We start from the raw sequence: 22,345 nt of genomic DNA on the forward strand, positions 1-22,345 counted from the left end.
CTAGATCCAGATCCAGAGCCTGCAGCCAATACGGATTAAATAACAAAAGCACACAAGGGCTTCAATCCTGGTTTGCATCCTGGCACTACCACTTGCTATCTGTATGACTCTAGGCTAATTTACCTCTCGATGCCTCAGTTGTTGCCCCTATACAGACAAAAAAGAAAACTTACCTAAATAGGTTGTTGTGTGCTAATACAGGTAAAGAATATATTTAGTACAATTCCTAGAACATAGTATGCACTCAATATGTTCTCAACTAATAATAACAATAGTAATGAACATATATTGGTTTTTAAGAAGATGGAGCCAAGTTTGAATGTTGGTTCTGACACTTGCTAGCTGCTCTCTTGGGACAGGTTTATTGGCTGTCTATAAACCTTGGTTTCTCATTCTTAAAAGAAGGGCAATAAATGGAAGGGTAACTGTGCAAACCATAAGAGAAAATGCAGTGACTGTTAAACCTGGCTGATCCCAGCTCACAGATAGTTAAAAAAATTCCTAAAGCCATTTTCCAAGTCCACTAACTCAGCAGTATCTCTGAGGTGCTGACACAGGTTGAGTATCCCTCATCTGAAATGTTTGGGACCAGATTGGTTTTGGATTTCATTGTTTTTTTGGTAATATTTGCAATATCAGTTGAGCATCTCAAATCTGAAAATCTGAAATTGAAATGCTCCAAAGAGCATTACCTTTGAGCATCATGCGCTCAAAAACTTTTGGTAAATTTTGGAGCATTTTGAATTTTGGATTTTCAGATGTGGGATACTCAACCTGTAAGAAATAGATACTTGCTCCAGACACCTTTGAATGCACATTATCATGCCAGACCCCATTCTCAGCACTGGGGCCACAAAAAAGGATAATACAGAAATGTTAAGAAAGTAATCTTCCTGAGCAAGGCTGAGAGAGACCAAGAGAGTGTGATCTGTTCTGGCAGAAGAAAGCAAAGTGAGGAGGAGCCTGTGGTAGACAAACGAGGTGACCTGATCCAATGCTCTATACTCCTACCTTCCATTTTTGGTTGGAAGTCACCCTTTCCCCAACTCCCTAACCACACTTCCTATAAAACTCAGTCAAAGGGCTAGTCTAGGCCAATCACAGCATGGTAGAAAATGACATATCAGCACTGTCTAAATTCTTTTTCTAGAGAAATGGTCTTTCTGGAGTTTAACTATCTTGATTCCAAAATTACAAAATAACTAGTGAAGACATTATTTAAGTTTGATATAAATGGACATAAGGTCTGAAAGAAATTTATAAAAAGTTTCTATATCTCAGAAACATTTCACTTAATATACATATGTCATGGAAATAAATTAGAAATCCTTTAAATCTCATTAGTGGATGTGTCTTGTGTTTCTTGATCCCTGGCTATGACAATTTGGTCCAAGGGATGAGAAGTAATCCCAATTGGTCAAATTAGAGTATTTTTGTGGCATTTTAAAACTAAGGAGTCCTCCTTTCTTCTTGGGTCACTCAACTGCAGGGTTGCAAGACTGGAACTATTTGGTCCTGGTTCCTGTCAGGCAGAGATAATCTGATGGAGACAGATGAAAATGAGGCCATTATATTGAAAGAAGCAGGCAGGAGAGGAACCAACACAAACAGAGGGAGAGCCTGATTCTAGGATCAACTCATACCTGAGGCCAACTCTACCCTGCTTTTCTCAGCCACGTCAAGCAACAGTCCCCTTTTAGGTGGAAGGTATAAGCTACATTAGTGTCTCTTTCAACCAAAAGAATCCTAATACAGAACTTTTCTGGTGGAAGGGAAGGAGGGTCTTTCTGGAGTAGTTACCACTGGAGTAGAATCTTACAAGGGACCGAAGTAATTAGCCAGGTACAGACAGACAGTTACAGAAAAATGGGCAAAGCCCAAGATTAATTAAAGGCACACAGAAGCTACTGAATATATTTGTTAAATAGAAATTCATTGAGCATATTTTATTTGCAAGTCACTTTTAGGTACTGAAGGTAGGGAATGGGGATAGAAAAGAAAATGCAAAAAATGCAACAAGACACATTTTAATGATAGTAAACTGGCAATGGCATACTTGTTTACAGGTCAGGTAACATATACGGGGAAGTCCAAGGGAGAGAATACAGTCACGGGTTCTTAGTTTCTGTTCCTGATTGGGCCAGTAAAGCCCTTCCTCATCCCTCTTTTCCGCTTACCACTAGGGAGAGAAACTAAATACCACAGCTTCAGGCTGCTAAGCACCTAAAACAAAACAAAACAGAACAAAAACAACAACAAAATAAGGCAAGTTGGAAGAACTTGTAAGTAAACAGCAAAGGAAATGCTAGGAGAAATTTACAAAAGCACAACAGAAGAAGGAACATTAAAGTAGCACTCAATTCCTTCACAAAATAAGCAAGTAAAGTCACAAGGACAGAGTCTGACCTAAAAGGTATGGAATCTTACAGCAAAAGAGTAAGTCTTATTTATACCTTTCAGAGACACCTTTTCAAGTGCCAACATGTCTGCAATAATTGACTATGTTAGGCCATGAAGAGAAGTTCAAGAAACACCAAAAAGTAGAAATAGTATTATCTACATTCTTTGATTACAATGTAATAAAATTAGACATGAGATAAAAGCAAAATTTTTAACAAACTAACCAGTGAGATAATTTTAAGTTATCTCCTAAAATTCTCACGGGTGCCTAGGGTCTGGTGGTACATTTGAGGCAGAAGCCCCCCACGCAAAAATCTCTGCTGAGACGAGATGTAGAAAGCTTAAACAAAAAAAAAAAAAAAAAAAAAAAAAAAAAAGCTCCTTCTACCCCAACCATGAGAAAAGCCCAAATGTTGTAATCTACAAAATTATGACTTTTTCTGAGTTTATAAGAGAGCTGAGTTTTTGAGGCAACCAAAGGGTGACAAGCCCCTCTGAGAAGATAAAACACATGAACTGTTTTATGTTTGAAAGTAACAGGAGAAAGAGGTGGTCACCACACAAATGGGTAGGAATAAATCAGCTAAAACTTCAATGAAATGTTAAAAGCCAAGTATGAACTAGGGGGTCACTTTGGAACAGTTAGGAGCACCAGAAATAAGTAGAGCTTGCACTGGCTCGAAAGCTTTCACATGAGTTCCACAAGGTGCTCAGAAAAATGCAGGTCAGGTAGGAGACCACAGGGAGCCCCTTTGGTGGCACAGGCATGCAGGAGGCCACTGGCTGCTGCTGGAGCCAGGCCCAAAGCCCCTCCATCTCCCCCTAGTCCCTTCTCTCCTAGCCTGTGGCTCTTAGGGCCACTGGCTGCCTGAGGAAGAATGTTGTTAGTAAACTGTCTATTGAATGAACTAATATATTAAAAATGTTCTCTTAATAGTTGTCAAAGTAATGTACAATTAAAGCAGTTCAAAACTAATTGTGAGGCTGGGCATGGTAGTGCATGTCTGCAGTCCCAGCTACTTGGGAGGCTGAAACAGGAGGATCCCTTGAGCCCAGGAGGTTGAGGCTGCAGTGAGCTATGATCGCGCCATTGCACCCTAGCCTGGGTGACACAATGAGACCCTGTATCTTACAAAAACAAACAACTAATTGTGGTAAAACACAAAACTCATGTACAATTAAGTAACAAGCATGTTAAAAATATTTTGCCAGCCGGGCACGGTGGCTCATGCCTGTAATCCCAGCACTGTGGAAGCTGAGGCAGGTGAATCATTAGGTCAGGAGTTCGAGACCAGCTTGGCCAACATGGTGAGACCCTGTCTCTGCTAAAAATACAAAAAATTAGCTGGGCGTGGTGGCAGGCACCTGTAATCCCAGCCACTCGGGAGGCTGAGGGAGGAGAATTGCTTGAACTCAGGAGGTGGAGGTTGCAGTGAGTCGAGATAGTGCCACTGCATTCCAGCCTGGGCGACAGTGCAAGACTCCGTCTCAAAATAAAAAAAAAAAAATTTGCCTTCTTTCTTTTGTAATTTTCTTTTTTTGTAAGAGATGTGGTCTTACTAGGCTGACCTTGAACTTCAGGGCTCAAACATTCCTCCCACCTCAGCCTCCCAAGTAGCTGGGACTATAGGCGCATACCATTGTGCTCAGCTTAGCCTTATTTCTATTAATAATTAAAGAAATACAAGTTTAAGGATTTATACCTGCCCATGTTACCCACCATGAACATTTTTTATAAGATTTTTTTGTTACAAAAACAATATATGCTCACAATAAAAAAGATGCAGATTAAAAATAAAGTATAAAACATCACTGACCAAGTGTGGTGGCTCACAAGTGTAATCACAACACCAGCCTAGGCAACATAGTGAAACCCCATCTCTACTAAAAATAAAAAATGAAAAAACCCCCAACAAAACAAAACAAAGACTATCACCCACTAGAGAACAACCATAGTTAATCCTGGCACGTAAACAGATGAACATAGAGAACTGCAAATTTGTGTGTGATATTTTATATTCACAATTTAATTTTAAAATGGTTTATATGGCATACATTGGGTATTTCTCCCATTTGTCAATATTCCAAAACCATCTTTCCCTGTCAGCAGACACATTTCTATAATGGTTTTTAAAGGAAGCATAATATTTTATTGCATAAATGTACCATAATTTCTTTTTTTTTTAGCATCATAGTTTAGTAACCAATTCCCCATTGAAGGACTTTATGACTCATTCTAAATTTTTAATGAATATTTATGCTAATGAAGGGGAGGGAAATGTCAGTTACTCCAAAATTTAAATCTCAATAGTTGAGGAAATGAATTATATAATGGAAATCTTAGACTACTATGCTTGATAGTCACCAGAGCAAGCACAGCTGCAGTCTGAAAGGCTTTTAAGCCAGAAAAAAAGAAAAAAGGAAAAGAAGTGAACACATTTATAAAGCTTTCCAAACTGTCTATCACAAATGACCACGGCTTACAGCAGACCTAGCTTCTGGATTGATGACTTGAATCTAGTCATTCATTTTACTTAAGAGAAAGACAGGAAAAAAGTATCTGTCGTAAGATCAATAAGCCCAGAGTGAAAAATAGGTTTCCTCAAACACCGAAAATAGCACCATGCAGTTTTTGTCTTTGAATTTGAAGAAAATGTAGGTGAAAGTCTTTAGCATAAAGGGACAGGAAACATCTTTATAAGCACACCACAAAAATGTGAACACATAAAAGCTAACTCAGTAACTTCAGCCTGATCGGTTGAAATAAATGAAGAAGCAGAAAAATGTTTATAACATGTAACAGTTAAACAATTAATATTTTTTAATATACAAAGAGTTATTACTAGCCAGTGATAAAATCAAACTACTCCCAAAGAGATGAATGGGCAGAAGGCATGAAAAAGCAATTCACAAAACAAACAAATGGCCAATAAACACGAAAACTGTTGAACCTTAGAGAAATGAAAAATAGTAACAAAGTCCTGTCTTGGTGATGCTGTTCATGTGAGGAAGACAATGTGAATTGATATCACCTTTCAGAGTGAAATCTACAAGGATCAAAATGAAGTATACGTATTCTTTGAGTCATTAATCTCACCTCTAGGAATTTACCTTAAGAAGATAATTACACATAATATATATAATTGTACTACACACTGTAGTACTCCTTATAATATAATGAAAACAAACTCTGAATGGAGAATCTGTGAAATAAATTATGGTACATATGTGCATACAACAGAATACTGTGTAGCCACTAACAAATGCTGAGTACTCAGTAGATCTACATTTGTTAGATGGATAGTTGAAAACTATCCATGAGACTGCAGACTTTCTAAAAGGAGGAGGCTGGAGAATAGAATAGAGGGTGTCACTTCATCAAGTTACATACATTGCTACTGAGATGACCTGAAGAATGGTCACCAAATGCTGACAGTGAATTCTAGTGATTTTTATATACTTCATGGTATTTTTCTAGATTAAAAAAAAATAATAAATGTGTCATTTTTATAAAAATATTAAGAAGCATTTTACTGATGAGGGGAAAGGCAGTTACATTATGACAGACTCAAGTATTCTCAAAGAGATGAATTTTATCTAAATATAGTTCAGCTATTAAGGCCAGCTGGCTGTTTTATGTCTGCTTTATTGCTTGTTACTTTGTAACTGTGGTATAAAAAAGAATTTTTCTGGTGTGCCATCTTGGGTTCCTGGTAAAAGCTTCAAACACCCTTGGAATTTCCTGAGTGCTGGTGCCTTTGTTCTGCTAATGAGGCGATTCAGATTGCACATCCGGGAGTCAGGGGAGGGCAGAGACCGAGCTCAATCATGTGGCCAATGATTTAATCAATCATGCCTACAGAATGAGACTTCAATGAAATCTTTGGTCACCAAAGGTCAGTGCAGCCTCCTGACTGGTGTACACGCTGATGTGCCAGGAGAGTGGGGTGCCCTGACACTAAGGGGAAGGGTTGTAGAAGCTCTGCTTTCCCTTCTAGGCTTCGCTTTATGTGTCTCCTTTATAATAAAACTGCAGTGGTAAGGACAGGACTTTTTTCTGAGTTCTGTGAGTCATTCTAGTAAATTATGGAACCTGAGGTGGGGACATGGGAACCTCCTACAATAGTAACCAGCTGGACAGAAATGTGCGTGGCCTGGGGATTCCCCTGAAACTTGTGGATGGAGTCTGAAGTGGGGGCAGTCTTGTGGACTCTGTTCTTAATAGGCGAGATCTGCGATTACTCCAGGTAGTCAGTGTCAGATTTGCAATGCAGTACACCCAGGTGGTGTCAGACCAGTTGGGATGAAATGGAAAAGTAATCATCCTAAGTAATGATATAGTATTATTTTCTATAACTGATACTTTGAAAAAATGTCAATGTAGTAAATGGCCAATAGCTTTGTTGATCGGATTTTGTGAATTTCCTACCACAAACAATAACACGTAAGAAATGTTTCTGCTTCTTGGACATCCAGATGCCTCCTATCTGTGCCATTCATGCAGCTCTCCCAGGCTGTGCTCCCACAGCCCCATGGGCCTCCACTACAGCACTCATTCCCATGTACTGCATCGGTCTCATACTGCCTCTCTCTCATACACTGGACTGTGAATTCCAAAGCAGGCATCACATCTTCTCCATCTTTGTATCTCAGAGCCTACCACTGTGCCTAGAAAGTGGCAGAGGTGCTATTAAATTTGGTGGATGAATGAGTCTGTGAAATAACTGTCCATAAAAATCACTCCAGTGGAGGAAAGTGAAAACTCAGGTTTGAAACTTCGCAGTCATTATATGCTCTTCTCCTCCTGCCAATCTTTCAATACTCAACAAAATACTGTGTCTGGGGGATCAAAGTGATAAGCGACCTCTGAAGGAAAATGGTAAATGAAATAAGAATTCCTTCAAACATAATAGGAAAAAAGAAAATAGTGTTAAATATTCCTTTTCCTTTTCTCTTAGATTTTTGTGGTCTCATGACAGGACATGAGAAATCTGGTTTGAAGGACTAACTTTTTTTGTGTGGGCAGAATGCTTTTATCCTTTTCTACAACAACTTACCTTTTAACCTGGCATCACCCCCAAAGGCACCACAGCCCCAGTTTCCTGTGGCCACTGCAGAAAGATTCTCTGAAGAAACTCCAGGACGGAGAAATCCACAGTAAGCCTGCAGGATAAAAGAATTATCAAAGCCTGTGAGTGCCTAGACACTAACAGTGTTTCTGACTGATGTACTAGGATCAGTGTCCATTATCAAGCTTATGTTCAATTTCTCATTTTTTTTTTCCATAGGGGCCAAAATAGAGGGAAAAACAAAGAGGGAGAAAGGGAGAGAAAAACCTGGGATTATGCAAGGAAGAGACTAAGAAATGATAAATTCTAATATTTATTTGTTTGAATGCTAAGCACATAAAATCCCTTAAACTAATACAGGTCCCAATTTATTTTTCCACTTCAAACAAACAGAAATGAAAATAGCAGATATTTCAAGAACTAATAGGATCCCAATTATAAACTACTAGGAAAAACTACCAGGAAAGGGACTTGTTAGAACAGTTTTCTTTTTCTTTGAAGGCTTTAATCACTATTTTTTTCATCAGGCAAAGGGTCACTATTATGCCTCCTCAGCATTCTCTCTCTCAGTTATGGAGATTAGATTAATAAATGTGCTTCCTGCTACTGACATACTTAACAAAGAGCAAGCAACTATCTATAGAAGGGATTCCTATACCTGGTTATGAAATAACCTTTAAGATGCCTTTTGGCTCTAAGATTCTCTAGTTTCACAGCTCTGTTTTAAGCTAGAATATTTAAAAACTTGCCAGTAATGTGAGAAAAGTACAATATATTCTGAAGATGCTGGCTAAGTATTAATTAAATGAACAGCTCATTTTCTATATGAGAAGACCATTGTGTAAGATCCCAGAGTTCCTGATTTCCACCTCTTTGCTGTCAGCTAGTTGGTCTTTCTGCCTTCTTTCTAAATTCTTATTTTCTGAAGTGATCAGACTGTAACAGGCTTAATACAGCAGCAAAGCAAAACTCCCCTGGGTTCTCAAGTTCCAAACGAAGCCTAAAATATAGCTTACATATAATAGCAAATACAATTAAAAGAATGATCTTGACAAATGTTCCCAGAGAAAAACCAAGGATAAAGAAAGATGCTTCTATGAAACCCACACATAGAAATATATTAAATTGTTCTTTGAAGTTTCCACAAAGGTATAAAAATTTATTTTACAGACTGTCTCGATGGATTAACAAGGCTATTCCTTCCATACCCTCCTAGACTGTAAATCCTGACAGATATTAATTATAAGTTGGTACCAGATCATTATTCAACACTGTGGTATAGAGCTTACACAAGCGCTCACAAATTACCTGCATAGTCAGATGCATGGAGCTTCTGAAAATCTCTTTCAGGTCAAAAAAATCTGAGAGCTCCATTTGTTTTGAATAGGCTCTTGAAAGATAGTCTGTGTCATTAACGAACAAGGGAAAAAACAAACCCTCTGGAAGAATAAACATAACTTTGCCGCTTTGTTTCATGTCAGAATTTTCTAACATGCCTAGAGAGAAGAAGGCTTCCTCAGATTCCTAGTTCATTTCTCTGTTTTATACTATCAGGATGGTTTTAGTTTCTTTCTTACTGCTGTCTCTAAATAACTGGGTTAACTTTACTTCAATGTGCAAAAATAGCTTAGTGAAACTAAGGCCTAATGATTGAGAATTTGAAACATTTAAATTATTAGAAGCAAAATCTAGTACAAAATATTATCCAATTTTCCTGGAAAATTATCTATCTTGAAAAATGGCCATAAAAACAAACCATGAAACTGAAAATAAACCTCATTCAGTGTTTAGATCAAATCTTTAAAAGTTCATGGCTGTAACCCCAGCACTTTGGGAGGCTGAAGTGGTAGGATCACTTGAGCTCTGGAGTTTGAGACCAGCCTGGGCAATATGGCAAGACCTGTGGTGTCACCTACTTGGGAGGCTGAGGTGGGAGGACTGCTTGAGCCTGGGAGGTCTAGGCTGCAGTGAGCCATGATGGTGCCACTGCACTCCAGCCTGGGTGACAGTGAACTCTATCCCCCACCCCTGCCACCAAAAAATATTAATCAGATAAAAATTAAATGATAAAATTACATAGAAATTAGAATAACTGGTTATAATGATTAAATACAAAATTATTTTATTCTGTTAAGAAGCAAGCATTTGTAAGGTCAGAAATAAGACAGCAGTAGTATGCTGCCCTGAGCCCTCTTTGGAAAGTCAGCCCAGGCTTCTCCCTTCTCTAGGAAGAAGGATGCCTTAAGTGCTGGAGACCAGGGCAGAGCCTTGAATCAGGGGACCTTTCCTTTTATGAGTAGGAATTGAACTCCCTTGGTAAAGAAACAAAGATGAGATAAGGATAGAGACCTTAAAAGAGTTGCCAAGTTCTCACTCCACAGCGAAAGGCATTAGGAGTTCTCAAGAGCTCTATATTGGCAAATGCGTTTGTTTTTCCCCCACCCAGAGCAAGAGTACTTGAGAAGACTCATCAGAAAGCTGCGAGAATAAAAGAAAGCCAGCTTGAACTCTAGCCATACCCTGCCCTGACAGTCTGCAATGACAGAGCAATTTATTTTTACTAATCAACAACTCAGAAGGGGGAAAAGAAAAAGGAAGCACTGAGACCTCAGGATAGTAAGCAGAAGATACCAATGAACAACCCTCTCTTGGAATGAGTTTTGATGGGAAGGGAAGAAGACAGCGAACATAAAGGTAATTTGGGAGTCCTGAAGGTTGCAAAGGGGTGTATTGAGAAGAAAGATGAAAATATTAGTACCTAGAGTTAAAAACTAGAGACCAACCAGGACATGGTAATGATAAAGATGTAGGAAAGAAGGAAAGAAAACGGAAAAGAGACCAAACAAAACTGGTATAAAGTCTACAGGCCCAAAATGAGGCCCAGGAAAGAAATGGTATCCAGGGGAATAGTCTGGCACAAACTGATGTATAAGATTTTACACTTAAGTAAGATCTTTGGCTTCAATATCAATTTTAGAAGGCCCAAGCAGATAGACAGTTACGTGCCGCATAGTGATGTTGCAGTCAACAACGAAGCACAAACGTGACGATGGTCCCATAAGATTATTATACCATTATTTTCATAGCACCTGCCCTATGTTTAAGACACAAATACCTACCGTTGCGTCACAGCTGCCTATAGTATTCAGTATAGTAACACACTCGACTGGTTTGTAGTCTAGGAGCAATAGGCCATACCATCTAGCCTAGGTGAGTAGCAGGCTATACCACTTAGGTTGTGTAAAGTGACATGTGCACAGTGACTACTTCACAGAACATATCTCCATCTTTAAGTGATGCATGATTTTACTTAAAAGATGTCTTTCATTATCATGTAAATACATTATTCTATTTGCTGGAATAATTTAATAATTATTGTTCCTAAAGTTACTCATTTATATGAAATCAATCTACTATACTTCTTTAACTTAATACACAGTGGATATTGATACTGATTTTCTGAGGTTTTTAGTATTCTCTGATTTCTTACGACTTTTTTTTTTTTTTTTTTTTTTTTTTTTTAGCCCAGGCTGGGTTCAGTGGTGTGATCCTAGCTCACTGCAAACTCCACCTCCCGGGTTCAAGCGATTCTCCTGCCTCGGCCTCTCGAGTAGCTGAGATTAGACTTCATCCCTAAAATAATTATAACATTAATACATTGTTTTTGCTATTCTAAAATGCAATATATAAAATGAAAGAAGTATGCAGATCTTAGTTTCCTGATGTATAAAATCCAAGATTGGGTTATGTATTTAATTGTTATTCTGATTCTATATATTGGGAAACTTAAGGGAAAACCCACTACAAATGATACATTTTGAACATTCTCGAAAAGTAAAGTGACACATATTTTATGAAAAGACTGTAAGTGCTCAGATGCTGAACTTCTTAGGAATATCAGCAGCAAATACTGACTGGTTTTGTTTTCAGGCTTTGGTTTAATAACAGTCCTATTCCAAATACGGTGGTGAATAATAACAAAAACATCAATAAACAGATCAATTTTTAAAAAGGTAAATAGGGATGATTTGTATCTCTCCACCTTGTTCAATCTCAGATTCAGAAAGCTCCACAAAACATATTCATTACTTAATCCTACCTAAAATCCTACCTAACATGGCAAATACAACTTTTCACAAGTGATTTGTTTCTTCTCTTGCAGTGCTATTTGCCACTTTTACAAGCTGAAGTCATAAATCTTTCTAACCCTAAAATAATTCTCCTTTAGAATGATACCCAGCTGATCTCTCACAGGATTAAACATTGCTTCACAGTATGAGTTAGATAGAAGGAGACTGGTCCCCCCCTTTAAAAACCAACTCTACTTGCAGGTCACGATGTGGGTCCAATAAGACCGGTGGAGCCTGGATGGAGCAGACCTTTTCCAGAGGCCTGGAAAGCACTTTGTAGGATTGGCTTTTCAATTATTAACTGGTGAGTAATGCTTAAAAGTAGCAAACAGGTCCCCAGAGGTCAGAGATCCATACTGAATTCTGACGGTGAAAACTGGTTTTACTTTTTCGCGTAGAAAAATGTGGGTTTTTTTTTTTTCTTTTCCTCCTTTCTCTCTGGCATGCATATATACACACACACACACACACACAAGCAGAATTGTGCAAGTCATCTCTAAAGTGATTTAACACAGACTTCTGCTCTAAAAGTTTGTAAAACATGAGATATAAAATATTAAACATTGTCTCCAAGTTGTGCTGTCAGTTTATGTGAGACTCCTGCTGCTCATAACCAAAATTCTTAAGTCAATTTTAATAGGTAAATGTAACTAGTAAGGGACAAATGCTTTAATCTAGAAGGCCTAAAGTTGTTTGGATTAGTTTCTGATTAAGTTGCCAATGACATTTAACAAAATCATTTACTGCTTTTTCCTTTTTCAGTGAAAGAATTAAAAAACTAATTCCTTGTTAAAATAACACATTTTTTGGAATATATCAGTGAATAAAAGAACACATATTTATCAGATGCCTTCCCATGTGCCAGGCCCTGAACTAGGTGCTTTCTCAAAGTTAGTCCATGTGTTGATAGGCTCTATTACACTCGAGGTATTTCCTTGTCTCACAGGTGGGGAACCCTCAAATTTCCTTGAAAAACTATATCAAACAGAAAAGCCATATTGAGAAAAGCATTTAACAGGTACCTTGCTCACAGCAGAAGTTTATGATCACAAAAGAAGAGTGATTCAGGCATAAGCATGTAGGAGACTATTCTAAAAGCAGAAATATTCTCAATGATTTAAGTTTGAACCACAAAAAGTCTAGAAGGTGAGGCCTAGTTATAGTAGTCTCTATGTGCAGGATTTACATTTTTAAAAAATGATTTGGCTGGGCGCAGTGCCTCACGCCTGTAATCCCGGCACTTTGGGAGGCCGAAGCGTGTGGATCACCTGAGGTTGGGAGTTCAAGATGAGCCTGACCAACATGGAGAAACCCCGTCTCTAATTAAAAATACAAAAATAGCCGGGAGTAGTGGTGCATGCCTGTAATCCCAGCTACTCAGGAGGCTGAGGCAGGAGAATCGCTTGAACCCGGGAGGTGGAGGTTGCAATGAGCCGAGATCATGCCATTGCACTCCAGCCTGGGCACCAAGAGTGAAACTCCGTCTCAAAAAAAAAAAAAAAAAAAAAAAAAAAGATTTGAAGTCAGGGGAGCCTGAATTTGAGCCCTGGTTTGGTCAGTGGCCAGCTATGTGACCTGGCCTGCGACAAATTACTCAACTTCCTAAGAAGTGAACTCACTGTCTCTAAATGAGAGACAAGAAAAATAGTTATGCCTCCCTGAGTGGTTAGGACTAAATCAGACACTGCATTTAAAGCACTAAGTAGAATGCCTCATAGAGAGTAAACAATCATTTAATGGCAAGAATTACTTTTACTATTGTTATCTGTATAATTTGAAAAAAAAACTCCACCTGCATTTGACTGAAAAGAATCTTTTATGAATTATAAATTAGACTTTATTGCATATTGACATGAATAATTGCAGGTTGAAAATGAATGTAGAACTGCATCACTATACATTAAAAATTAACCCATCTGCTTCACATGGCTTCATCTGTCCCAAACTTGATTTGACACTCAACTTACTAGGCTTTATTGAGCACTTGAAGAATATTTAGGAAATATATAACATTTTGTGACATATTGAGTGACTTAAGATAATGTACTTATGTAACTTCTAAAATATTTACCTCAAAAACCTAAATTAACATTGTCTAAGAAGTTATTTAGGCCAGGCGTGGTGGCTCACGCCTGTAATCCCAGCATTTTGGGAGGCCGAGATGGGCAGATAACCTGAGGTCAGGAGTTGGAGACAAAACTGGCCAACATGATGAAACTCCACCTCCATTAAAAATAGAAAAATTAGCCTGGCGTGGTGGTGCATGCCTCTGGTCCCAGCTACTTGGGAGGCTGAAGCAGGAGAATCACTTGTACCCGGGAGGCGGAAGTTGCAGTGAACTGAGACCACGCCATTGTACTCCAGCCAGGGCAACGAGTGAAATTCCGTCTCAAAAAAAAAAAAAAAGTTATTTAATTATCAGTCAAGTCATTTAACAAAATATTTTTGAGACACTTCCATAAGGCAGTGTGACTGACTGCCGCCAACTCCTAATGAAATAAAACTCCTGTTGCCAGGTTACTTGAAGACTCATTCTTTGTATAAAACGCCCCTCATTAAGACTCTATATTCTATAAATAAATGTTCTTCCATGTTGCCAATATTTACAACTAACTTAACCTATTCACATATATCTTTTAAATTTCTGGTGTCTTTGAGGATGGGCAAACTGAAGGTTGGTGATACACAAGTAAGTGCAGAGAGAATCAACTGGACCTGGCAATTTTAAAAAAGACTTATGCCCAAAGTTACCTTCTTAAAAGATCATAATTGAGGATAACTTCTAAAAGTGAATGATCTAGTTCTCATAGAAAAGTATATGTGGGAGTATACAGTTCATTCATAAAATAGTGAAGCTTTCAGTTTGTATTCATGTATTAACTGTGGCTAAACACATTTTGGTTCTACTTTCCTTTTCCATATTTCTCTCCAACAACCTACTGCTTACATAAATGTCCTCTTGACCGTGTGACAAATTCACATATACGTGTTTAGGTAAGTAGCACCTCATGAAAATTTAAAGACAAGTCTTATTCTACTCGATATGCTCTATCCTAAAAACATCATGGTACTGGGGACAATTGCTTTAAGGCAAGAGTTTGGAACAGTGAAAATAGGCTTACATTTAAAATGTATCCAATTACTAGTAAAAGATACTTTTCAGGCAGGGCATTGTGGCTCATGCCTATAATCCCAGCACTTTGGGAGGCCGACGGGGAGGAGATCACTTGAGCCCAGGAGTTTGAAATTGGCCTGGGCAATATGGTGAAACCCAGTGTATCTAAAAAAGAAAAATTAGCCAGGTGTGGTGGTGCACACCTGTACTCCTAGCTACTCAGGAGGCTGAGATGGGAGGATCACCTGAGCCCAGAGAAGTTGAGAGTCTGCAGTGAGCTGTGATCGCACATGCCACTGCACTCCAGCCTAGGCAACAAAGACCCTGCTTCAAAAAAAAAAAAACAAAAAACACAACAAAAAAAAAAATCTTCAGTACAGGCAAATCTCTGACTTTCAGAGTCAGGTAGGAGAGAACTTTAGAACTGTTGATACACCAAAGGCCGGTCTTTCTGGATAGCTTTTCTGAGGGATTACTTTTTATTTTCATTTTTAAATAAATGACACCTGTTACGTAAGTTCAACTTTAAAAAATAGTGCATTATTCTTCAAACATTTTATAAAATTTGAGAACTCTAAACATTAAAATAATTTAAAAAATTATACATACGAGAACATGTTCAACAATAAATTAGATTCTCCCAAATAGATCAGGATATAAGATACTTAATTATGTTCAAAATATCTACTAAGTTGTAAGTGTAGTAAAAATCTGTCTAGATCACTGTTATTATTCTCAGAAGTCTGTGTAGGAACTGGCACACCATGTATAGCCATGTAAAAACCACAAGCCTCATTATCCTAATAATCTTATAACTAAATCCTACTCATGGGAGTGAAAGAATGATTTTCAGAATTGGGTCAGTCTTCTTGGCTGTGTGAATAATTTGTGGAACTAAAGAAAATCTCTAGGCTGGGCACAATGGCTCATGCCTGTAATCCCAATACTTTGGGAGGCTGTGGCGGGCAGGATCGCCTGAGGTCAGGAGTTCGAGACCAGCCTGGCCAACATGGTGAAACCCCATCTCTACTAAAAATATAAAAATTAGCTGGGCGTGGTGGCAGGCGCTTGTAATCTCAGTTACTTGGGAGGCTGAGGCAGGAGAATCGCTTGAACCTGGGAGGCGGAGGTTGCAGTGAGCCAAGATCATGCCATTGCACTCCAGCCTGGGCCACAAAAGCGAAACTCCATCTCAAAAAAAAAGAAAAAAAGAAAAAAAAGAAAATCTCTGCTGAGTGAATAATTCGAGGAACTAAAAAGAAAATCTCTGCTGTTTTGGGAAAGCCCAAAATCCAGAGAACAGAATCAGCTCTCTGTTGTGTAACAGAGTTTATTTATTATGGTTGCCAATACTGAAAATTTGAACAACAGGTATGGTTCATTTTTATATTTCTGTAATAAAAAAGAAAAAAATGAATATAGTAGGCGGCACTAAGTATTACGGAAAATAATAGATACCATCATAAATCTTACCTAAAATAGAACAACATTTGATTTGGCTTTTTCAGTTTTTCTGTTTTAACCCTGATAGCATACTTTGTAGAGAAAATGTCATTAAGCAGGTCTGAGAAAAAAATTTTCAGAGCTCATTTGTTTCTATATGGTTTTACATTGATAATGTCCCATAGCAGCTAAGGTACTTGATGAGATAAATGCATGTGTGGGGTTTAAAACTAAGCAACAGCCTATCTGGCAACCTTAGCTGCGAATCAAACAATTACAAAATGGAAAGTACATCTTGTACAAGCTGACAGAGCCATTAAATCAGGAGAGCTGTGGGCAGACATACTGACACTGCAATAATTACCAGAAAGCATTAATTTCAGCATTAATAAAATGGCAGTAAATAGATGACAGCTGCCAGATGAACTAAGAAATAAGGTTACTGGCCTTGTTCAGCTCGCGTCTCATTTTCTCAGGCACAAACTGATCGAGGTAGCGTCTGAAGTGAAGAGCATCGATGGCAACGATCTCAGTGCAGCGCCGCTGCCAGTCGTCCCTGGGACAGGAAGGAAAGGGGAGAAAAGATAAGGAACAGGTAGTCGCTCAAATAAAATCCTCTCAGGGGTCAGGTTGCCAAGACTTTAGCTCTGTTAAAATATTAAAAACAAACCAGTGTCTGCAGGTCTGAGCAAAAGGAAAGGAAAGGAAACACCCTTTATTTTTAGATTGAGGCATATACAGTGTGCACTGTCAGGCTTTAAAAAGTAAAATGAAAAATTACCCAGAGACAACACAATGACATAGTGTAAACAGGTAAATCATTTATAGTAAGTCTCAGAGGTTAAAGGATTTGGGGGCAAACAAAAGGAATCTAGTTCTTTGTTTTCCTCTAATACTAAGGACATGCCACTTGCATCCTGACAAAGCTCATTCCTCCTTTGCTTTGAGAGATCTGCTTTAAATCACTGGGGTTGTAACATCACTATATACTGTCCAGGAAATAATCCTAAGAAGTGTTACAAAAATGTGAAATAATTCAGTGCAGCATTCTACCTACTGTGCTCAATTGCTGACTGTGAGAAACTATTTTTAAAATAACAAAGACATCAAAGCAGACAATACCATGTTGCCTGTGGAAATAGAAAGGACTGGTTGAGATGATAATTTTGGAAACATGTAAAATCCCAAATATTTAATCTCTTTATAAACTTGCATATATTGCTGTGCCAAGCAACTTTTCAAACTGAAAACCAACAATAGAAATCTTCATGCTGGTTTGTAAATAATTGTAAATAATGTAGAATAAACATCTACATAGATGTTTGTTGCAACCATATATTTTAAACAAAATAGCAAGAAAGCAGAGGATGGACTTGAGACATTATGAGGAATAAATTTGTGGCACGTGGGCAAGAGCTGATTCTTTCTGCCACAATGGTTTTCTCATCAAATAACAAACAAAACAAAACAAAACAAAAAACCCCACAAGCTTTCAGGTAGCATTTCTGCAAAATTTTATCTCTGGTTAACTAGAAGTAAGAATGTCAAAGTAGAAGACTATATTTCAAGAAGATATAGGAGACAAAGCAGCAAAGCACACCGCAGGTTCTGCCATCAACTGGTTTGTGGCATTAGGTCAACTGTCGCAACATAGGTTTCCTCCACCTAATTTCACAGAAAAATTAAAGATAACTTAATAAGTTGGTCAAAGGCTTTAAGCTCTAATTAGAACCTATTCTACTCAGATTTAAACATGGAATTTAACCTCCACGGTTTCTGATTGTAGCTCAGAGGTAAAGAACTGTAGAGAATTCTGCCCCTCTTTGTCTTTGCTTTAGACTTTTGGTTTTATCTTCTCTGTTCTTCCCTTTGGTACAGGAAGATGGTAATAGTGTTTTCAATGCCAATGAACCTGTAATGCTGATTTCTTTTCTTTTTTCTTTTTAAGTTCACTTGCTGAAATACAAGTAGACAGAATGAGAGTGTGTGAGGGTCAAGCCCAAATTCCTTTGCTTTTAGCCATGGAATACTGAAGACAGAAACAGACTCACCTTTCACTCCCATCTTCGTGGCTCCGGGACCAACGATATGTCTCAGCATAGCCTGTGTATTCACTGTACTGCTCAGTACCTGAAACAAACAATCTGTCACTATTAACTTCACACTTGATGGCAAAAACATTCCACCTTTCATAACATGGCAAGAATAACTTCTGTTTAGCACTGTACTGAAGGTCTCTCCAGCCAGTGCAATAAGGCAAGAAAATAAACAAAAAGGCATAAAGAATGTAAAAAAATAAGTCAAACTGTCCCTATTTGTAGATATCATGCTTGTTTACATAGCAAATCCTAAGGAATCACTGAACTAAAGAGAGAGGCCAGGCGCAGTGGCTCATGCCTGTAATCCCAGAGGCGGGTGGATTACCTAAAGTCAGAAGTTCAAGACCAGCCTGGCCAACATGGTGAAACCCCACCTCTGCTAAAAATGTAAAAATTAGCCAGGCTTGGTGGTGTGTGCCTTTAATCCCAGCTACTAGGGGGGCTGAGGCAGGAGAACTGCTTGAACCTGGGAGGCGGAGGTTGCAGTGAGCCAAGAGTGTGCCACTGCACTCCAGCATGGGAGACAGAGCGAGATTCAGTCTCAAAAGAAAAAAAAGAAAAGAAAAGAAAGGGGAAATTAAAATAAAGAAAAAGCATATAAGTAAACTTAGATCAAGGGTATGTCTGTGTACTAGCAACAAACAATGGGAAAATAAACATTTTTTAAAAATCCATTACCCATAATGTCAAAAACCATAAAATACCTAGGAGTAAACATAACAACAAAGAAGACACTACTGGCCAGGTGCAGTGGCTCACGCCTGTAATCCTAGCGCTTTGGGAGTCCGAGGCTGGTGGATCACCTGAGGTCAGAAGTTCGAGACCAGCTTGGCCAACATGGTGAAGCTCCGTCTCTAATAAAAATACAAAAATTAGCTGGGCATTGTGGCGTGTGCCTGTAATCCCAGCTACTCAGGAGGCTGAGGCAGGAGAATCGCTTGAACCTGGGAGGCAGAGGTTGCAGTGAGCGGAGATTGTGTCACTTCACTCCAGCCTGGGCCACAGAGCAAGACTCCATCTCAAAAAAAAAAAAAAAGACACTAGAAAAAAAAAGAAAACTTAAATGGAGACCTGGGAGGCGGAGGTTGCATTGAACTGAGATCATGCCACTGCCCTCCAGCCTGGGTGACAGAGCAAGACTCCATCTCAAAACAAAAACAAAAACAAAAAACAAACGAACAAACAATGAAAAAACACCTTCAGGAAAATGTTTAGACAAGACTGGAGAAAAAATATTTGCAAATCAAATATCTGACAAAGGACTTGTGTTCAGAATATGCGACGAACTCCTACATGTCTGCAATAAAAACACAACCCAATTTAGAAAAATGGACAGAAGACCTGAATATAAACTTCACACAGGAAGATATACAACTGGCTAACAACCACATAAAATATTGCTCAACATTATTAGTCATCAGAGAAATGCAAATAAAAAAAATCACAGTGAGAAACCACCATACACTCAAAAGAGAGGCTAAAATACAAAAGAATAAAAACGAATGACAACACTAAATGTTGACGAGGATGGAAAACAAGTGGAAATCTCATTTTATATTGCTGGGAGAACATAAATTGGTGTAATAATTTTGGAAAAGAGTTTGGCAATCCCTTGTAAAATTAAACATACACGTAACCTTTGACCTACAATTTCCATTCCTAGATATCTACTAAACAAATACTGAAAATGTGTGCTCACAAAAACTGCAAAGAACAATGTTCATAGCAGGTTTCCTTACAATAGATTTGTATCAGTCATTGCTCAACCAGAGAAATGGAACCAGGAGGACATATATATGAAGAGATTTATTGCCAAAAATTGGCCTACACAATTGTGGAGCTGACTAGTCAGGTCCAAAGGGTGCACTGGAACTCTCAGGCATGGGTGAAGTGGCAGTGCACAGAATGAATTTCCTCTTCAGAGAAGCCTCAGCTCTGCTCTTAAGGCCTTCCACCCAACTGAATCAGGCCCACCCAGATTATCGCTTACTTAATGCAAATTGTATTGAATGTGGCTAAGCACAGTGGCTCATGCCTGTAATCCCAGCACTTTGGGAGGCCGAGGTGGGGAGATCACTCGAGGTCAGTAGTTCGAGACCAGCCTAGCCAACATGGTGAAACCCTGTCCCTACTAAAAATACAAAAATTAGCTGAACATGGTGGCAGGCACCTATAATCCCAGCTACCTGGGAGGCAGAGGCAGGGGCATCACTTGAACCCAGGAGGCAGAGGTTGCAGTGAGCCAAGGTCACATCACTGCACTCCAGCCTGGGCAACAGAGTGAGACTTTGTCTCAAAGGAAAAAAAAATGCTTATTGAATGCAATAAGATTAACTCCTTTACTTGTAGACTTTGATCACATCTATAAAATACTTTCACAGCAATACCCGAATTAGTGTTTGACAGAATAACTGGGGGCTGTAGCCTAGCTAAGTTGACATTAAAAAAAAAAAGACTATCACAAAACTAAAGGTGGAAACAATCCAACTATTGATAAAAAATTAACAAAACATTTGCCACGATCACACAAAGGAATACTCCTTAGTAATAAAAGGGATAGAACCACTGACACATTAAAAAACATAGATAGATCTCACATTACGCTAAGCAAAAGCAGCAAGATACAGAAGTGTGTATGACATATATTTACATGACATTCTAAAAAAAAGAAAAAAGTAATTTATAATGAAAAGAATAAAAATTATGGTTGTTTCTGGGGTTGGGGACTGACCAGAAAAAGGCTCAAGGGAATTTTCTGAGGTGATAGACATGTTTTTTTTTTTTTTATGTCTTGATAGGGGTGTGGGATATAAAAGCATATCAATTTGCCAAAACTCACCATATTATCCACTTAACATTGTATACTTCAATGTGTGTAAATTTTACTTCAAAAATAAAAGAACTGTAAACAAATAATGAACTCTATTTAACAGGTTTACTTTTTGCAGTGGCATGGTTTAGAAGTTCTGAAATCACCTTTTGTATATATTAGGCTTAAACAAACGAGAAAAATTGAAGATATTGGGAGCCACATTCTTCATTGTTGGGGAAGAGAGTTCCAATTATGGAAAGGGGGAAAGACTATAATATAGGCTGTGAAGCTGGTTAAGAATGGGAGGTATCAATATAAATTCACAGTTGTATATGTGTGTGTGTGTGTGTGTGTGTGTGTTTGTAACATATATGTTCTAGTTCAAATCTTGGCTTCCAAAAACTAACTAAAATCCAGGACCACCTGCAGAAATGGCTGATTCCAGAGCTGGTGCAGGGAATATACAAGATGAGCCTACAACATCTTTTTGTGCTAAAAAGATGGAGATGCTCAAAGAAGAAAGTGCATTAAAGAATGATGGGCACATGTCAAAGGCACACAATAGTTAACTTGAAGGCATTCCCACTGATGGAATATGGGACAATTTAGCACCAAACAGAAAATAGCAATGGATCATAATCCACTGAATACAATAAGAATGCAAGTGTCTATACTTGCATATATATTAATAAATAATAAATATTAATAAATAAGTATACACAAATAAGGAAAAAGGGAAAATCCTTCCTTATAGTAGAATGCCAACTACTAAATGTAGAAAGAATGGGAGTTTAAAAAATTAGCAATGACTGCTAAAATTAGTAGGTGAAGGTTTGATGAGGACAAGATGTTTACAGTTTCAAAGTATATAAAATATATAGCGATACATTAATTACAGAATGAAAAAGTATAACCTGACAGTGGAGGAACCTGGTCAACCCAACTTAACCAAGTCATTACACTGGTGTCACAAATATTGGGACAAAGTGCTATCACATGTCTCCTCAAAAGATATACTAAATAGAACACAGTATCACTTCAGTGGGATTCCTACCGAAATGAATAACCCGAACCTAATTAGGAAGAAGCAGTGGGCAAACACAAGAAGGACAATCTACAAAATAACTAGCCTATCCACTTGAGAAATATCAAAGTGAACAAACACAAGGAAAAGCTGAGAAATGGTTCCAGTTTAAAGAATACCAAGGTGTGAGCCTGGACTAATTGAAGACTGGAAAGAAAGCTACAAAGGTCATAATTGGAATAACAAAATTATA

The 22,345-nt window shown here is 38.2% G+C and overlaps 1 protein-coding gene across 13 annotated transcripts in view, besides 3 other annotated features; it reads right to left on the reverse strand.

Moving 5' to 3' along the window:
• Positions 1–22,345, reverse strand: part of PARG (poly(ADP-ribose) glycohydrolase) — a 123,749-nt gene that overhangs the window by 7,067 nt on the left and 94,337 nt on the right. For all 13 annotated transcript variants that reach the window (NR_130169.3, NR_136752.3, NR_136754.3 and 10 more), the window contains 3 exons: positions 18,209–18,287; positions 16,605–16,713; positions 7,458–7,563 (listed from right to left, as the gene is read on the reverse strand). Coding sequence is in view for 6 of the 13 variants with exons in the window: in NM_001303486.3 (NP_001290415.1) it covers positions 7,458–7,563; positions 16,605–16,713; positions 18,209–18,287 (294 nt within the window). In the remaining 7 variants the exon portion in view is untranslated. The remainder of the gene's footprint in view (positions 1–7,457; positions 7,564–16,604; positions 16,714–18,208; positions 18,288–22,345) is intronic.
• Positions 5,564–6,329: an enhancer, noted in NCBI's record as "OCT4-NANOG-H3K27ac hESC enhancer chr10:51038955-51039720 (GRCh37/hg19 assembly coordinates)". NCBI's record gives its function as "activates a minimal SCP1, AML or CMV promoter by ChIP-STARR-seq in primed H9 embryonic stem cells {active_cell/tissue: H9 hESC(primed)}" and the evidence as "EXISTENCE:reporter gene assay evidence [ECO:0000049][PMID:30033119]".
• Positions 6,330–7,093: an enhancer, noted in NCBI's record as "OCT4-NANOG-H3K27ac hESC enhancer chr10:51039721-51040484 (GRCh37/hg19 assembly coordinates)". NCBI's record gives its function as "activates a minimal SCP1, AML or CMV promoter by ChIP-STARR-seq in naive and primed H9 embryonic stem cells {active_cell/tissue: H9 hESC(naive and primed)}" and the evidence as "EXISTENCE:reporter gene assay evidence [ECO:0000049][PMID:30033119]".
• Positions 11,818–12,112: an enhancer, noted in NCBI's record as "tiled region #10647; HepG2 Activating DNase matched - State 5:Enh". NCBI's record gives its function as "activates a minimal TATA promoter and a strong SV40 promoter by Sharpr-MPRA in HepG2 cells {active_cell/tissue: HepG2}" and the evidence as "EXISTENCE:reporter gene assay evidence [ECO:0000049][PMID:27701403]".

The sequence above is a fragment of the Homo sapiens genome, chromosome 10 (assembly GCF_000001405.40).
Source record: "Homo sapiens chromosome 10, GRCh38.p14 Primary Assembly".
NCBI lineage: Eukaryota > Metazoa > Chordata > Mammalia > Primates > Hominidae > Homo > Homo sapiens.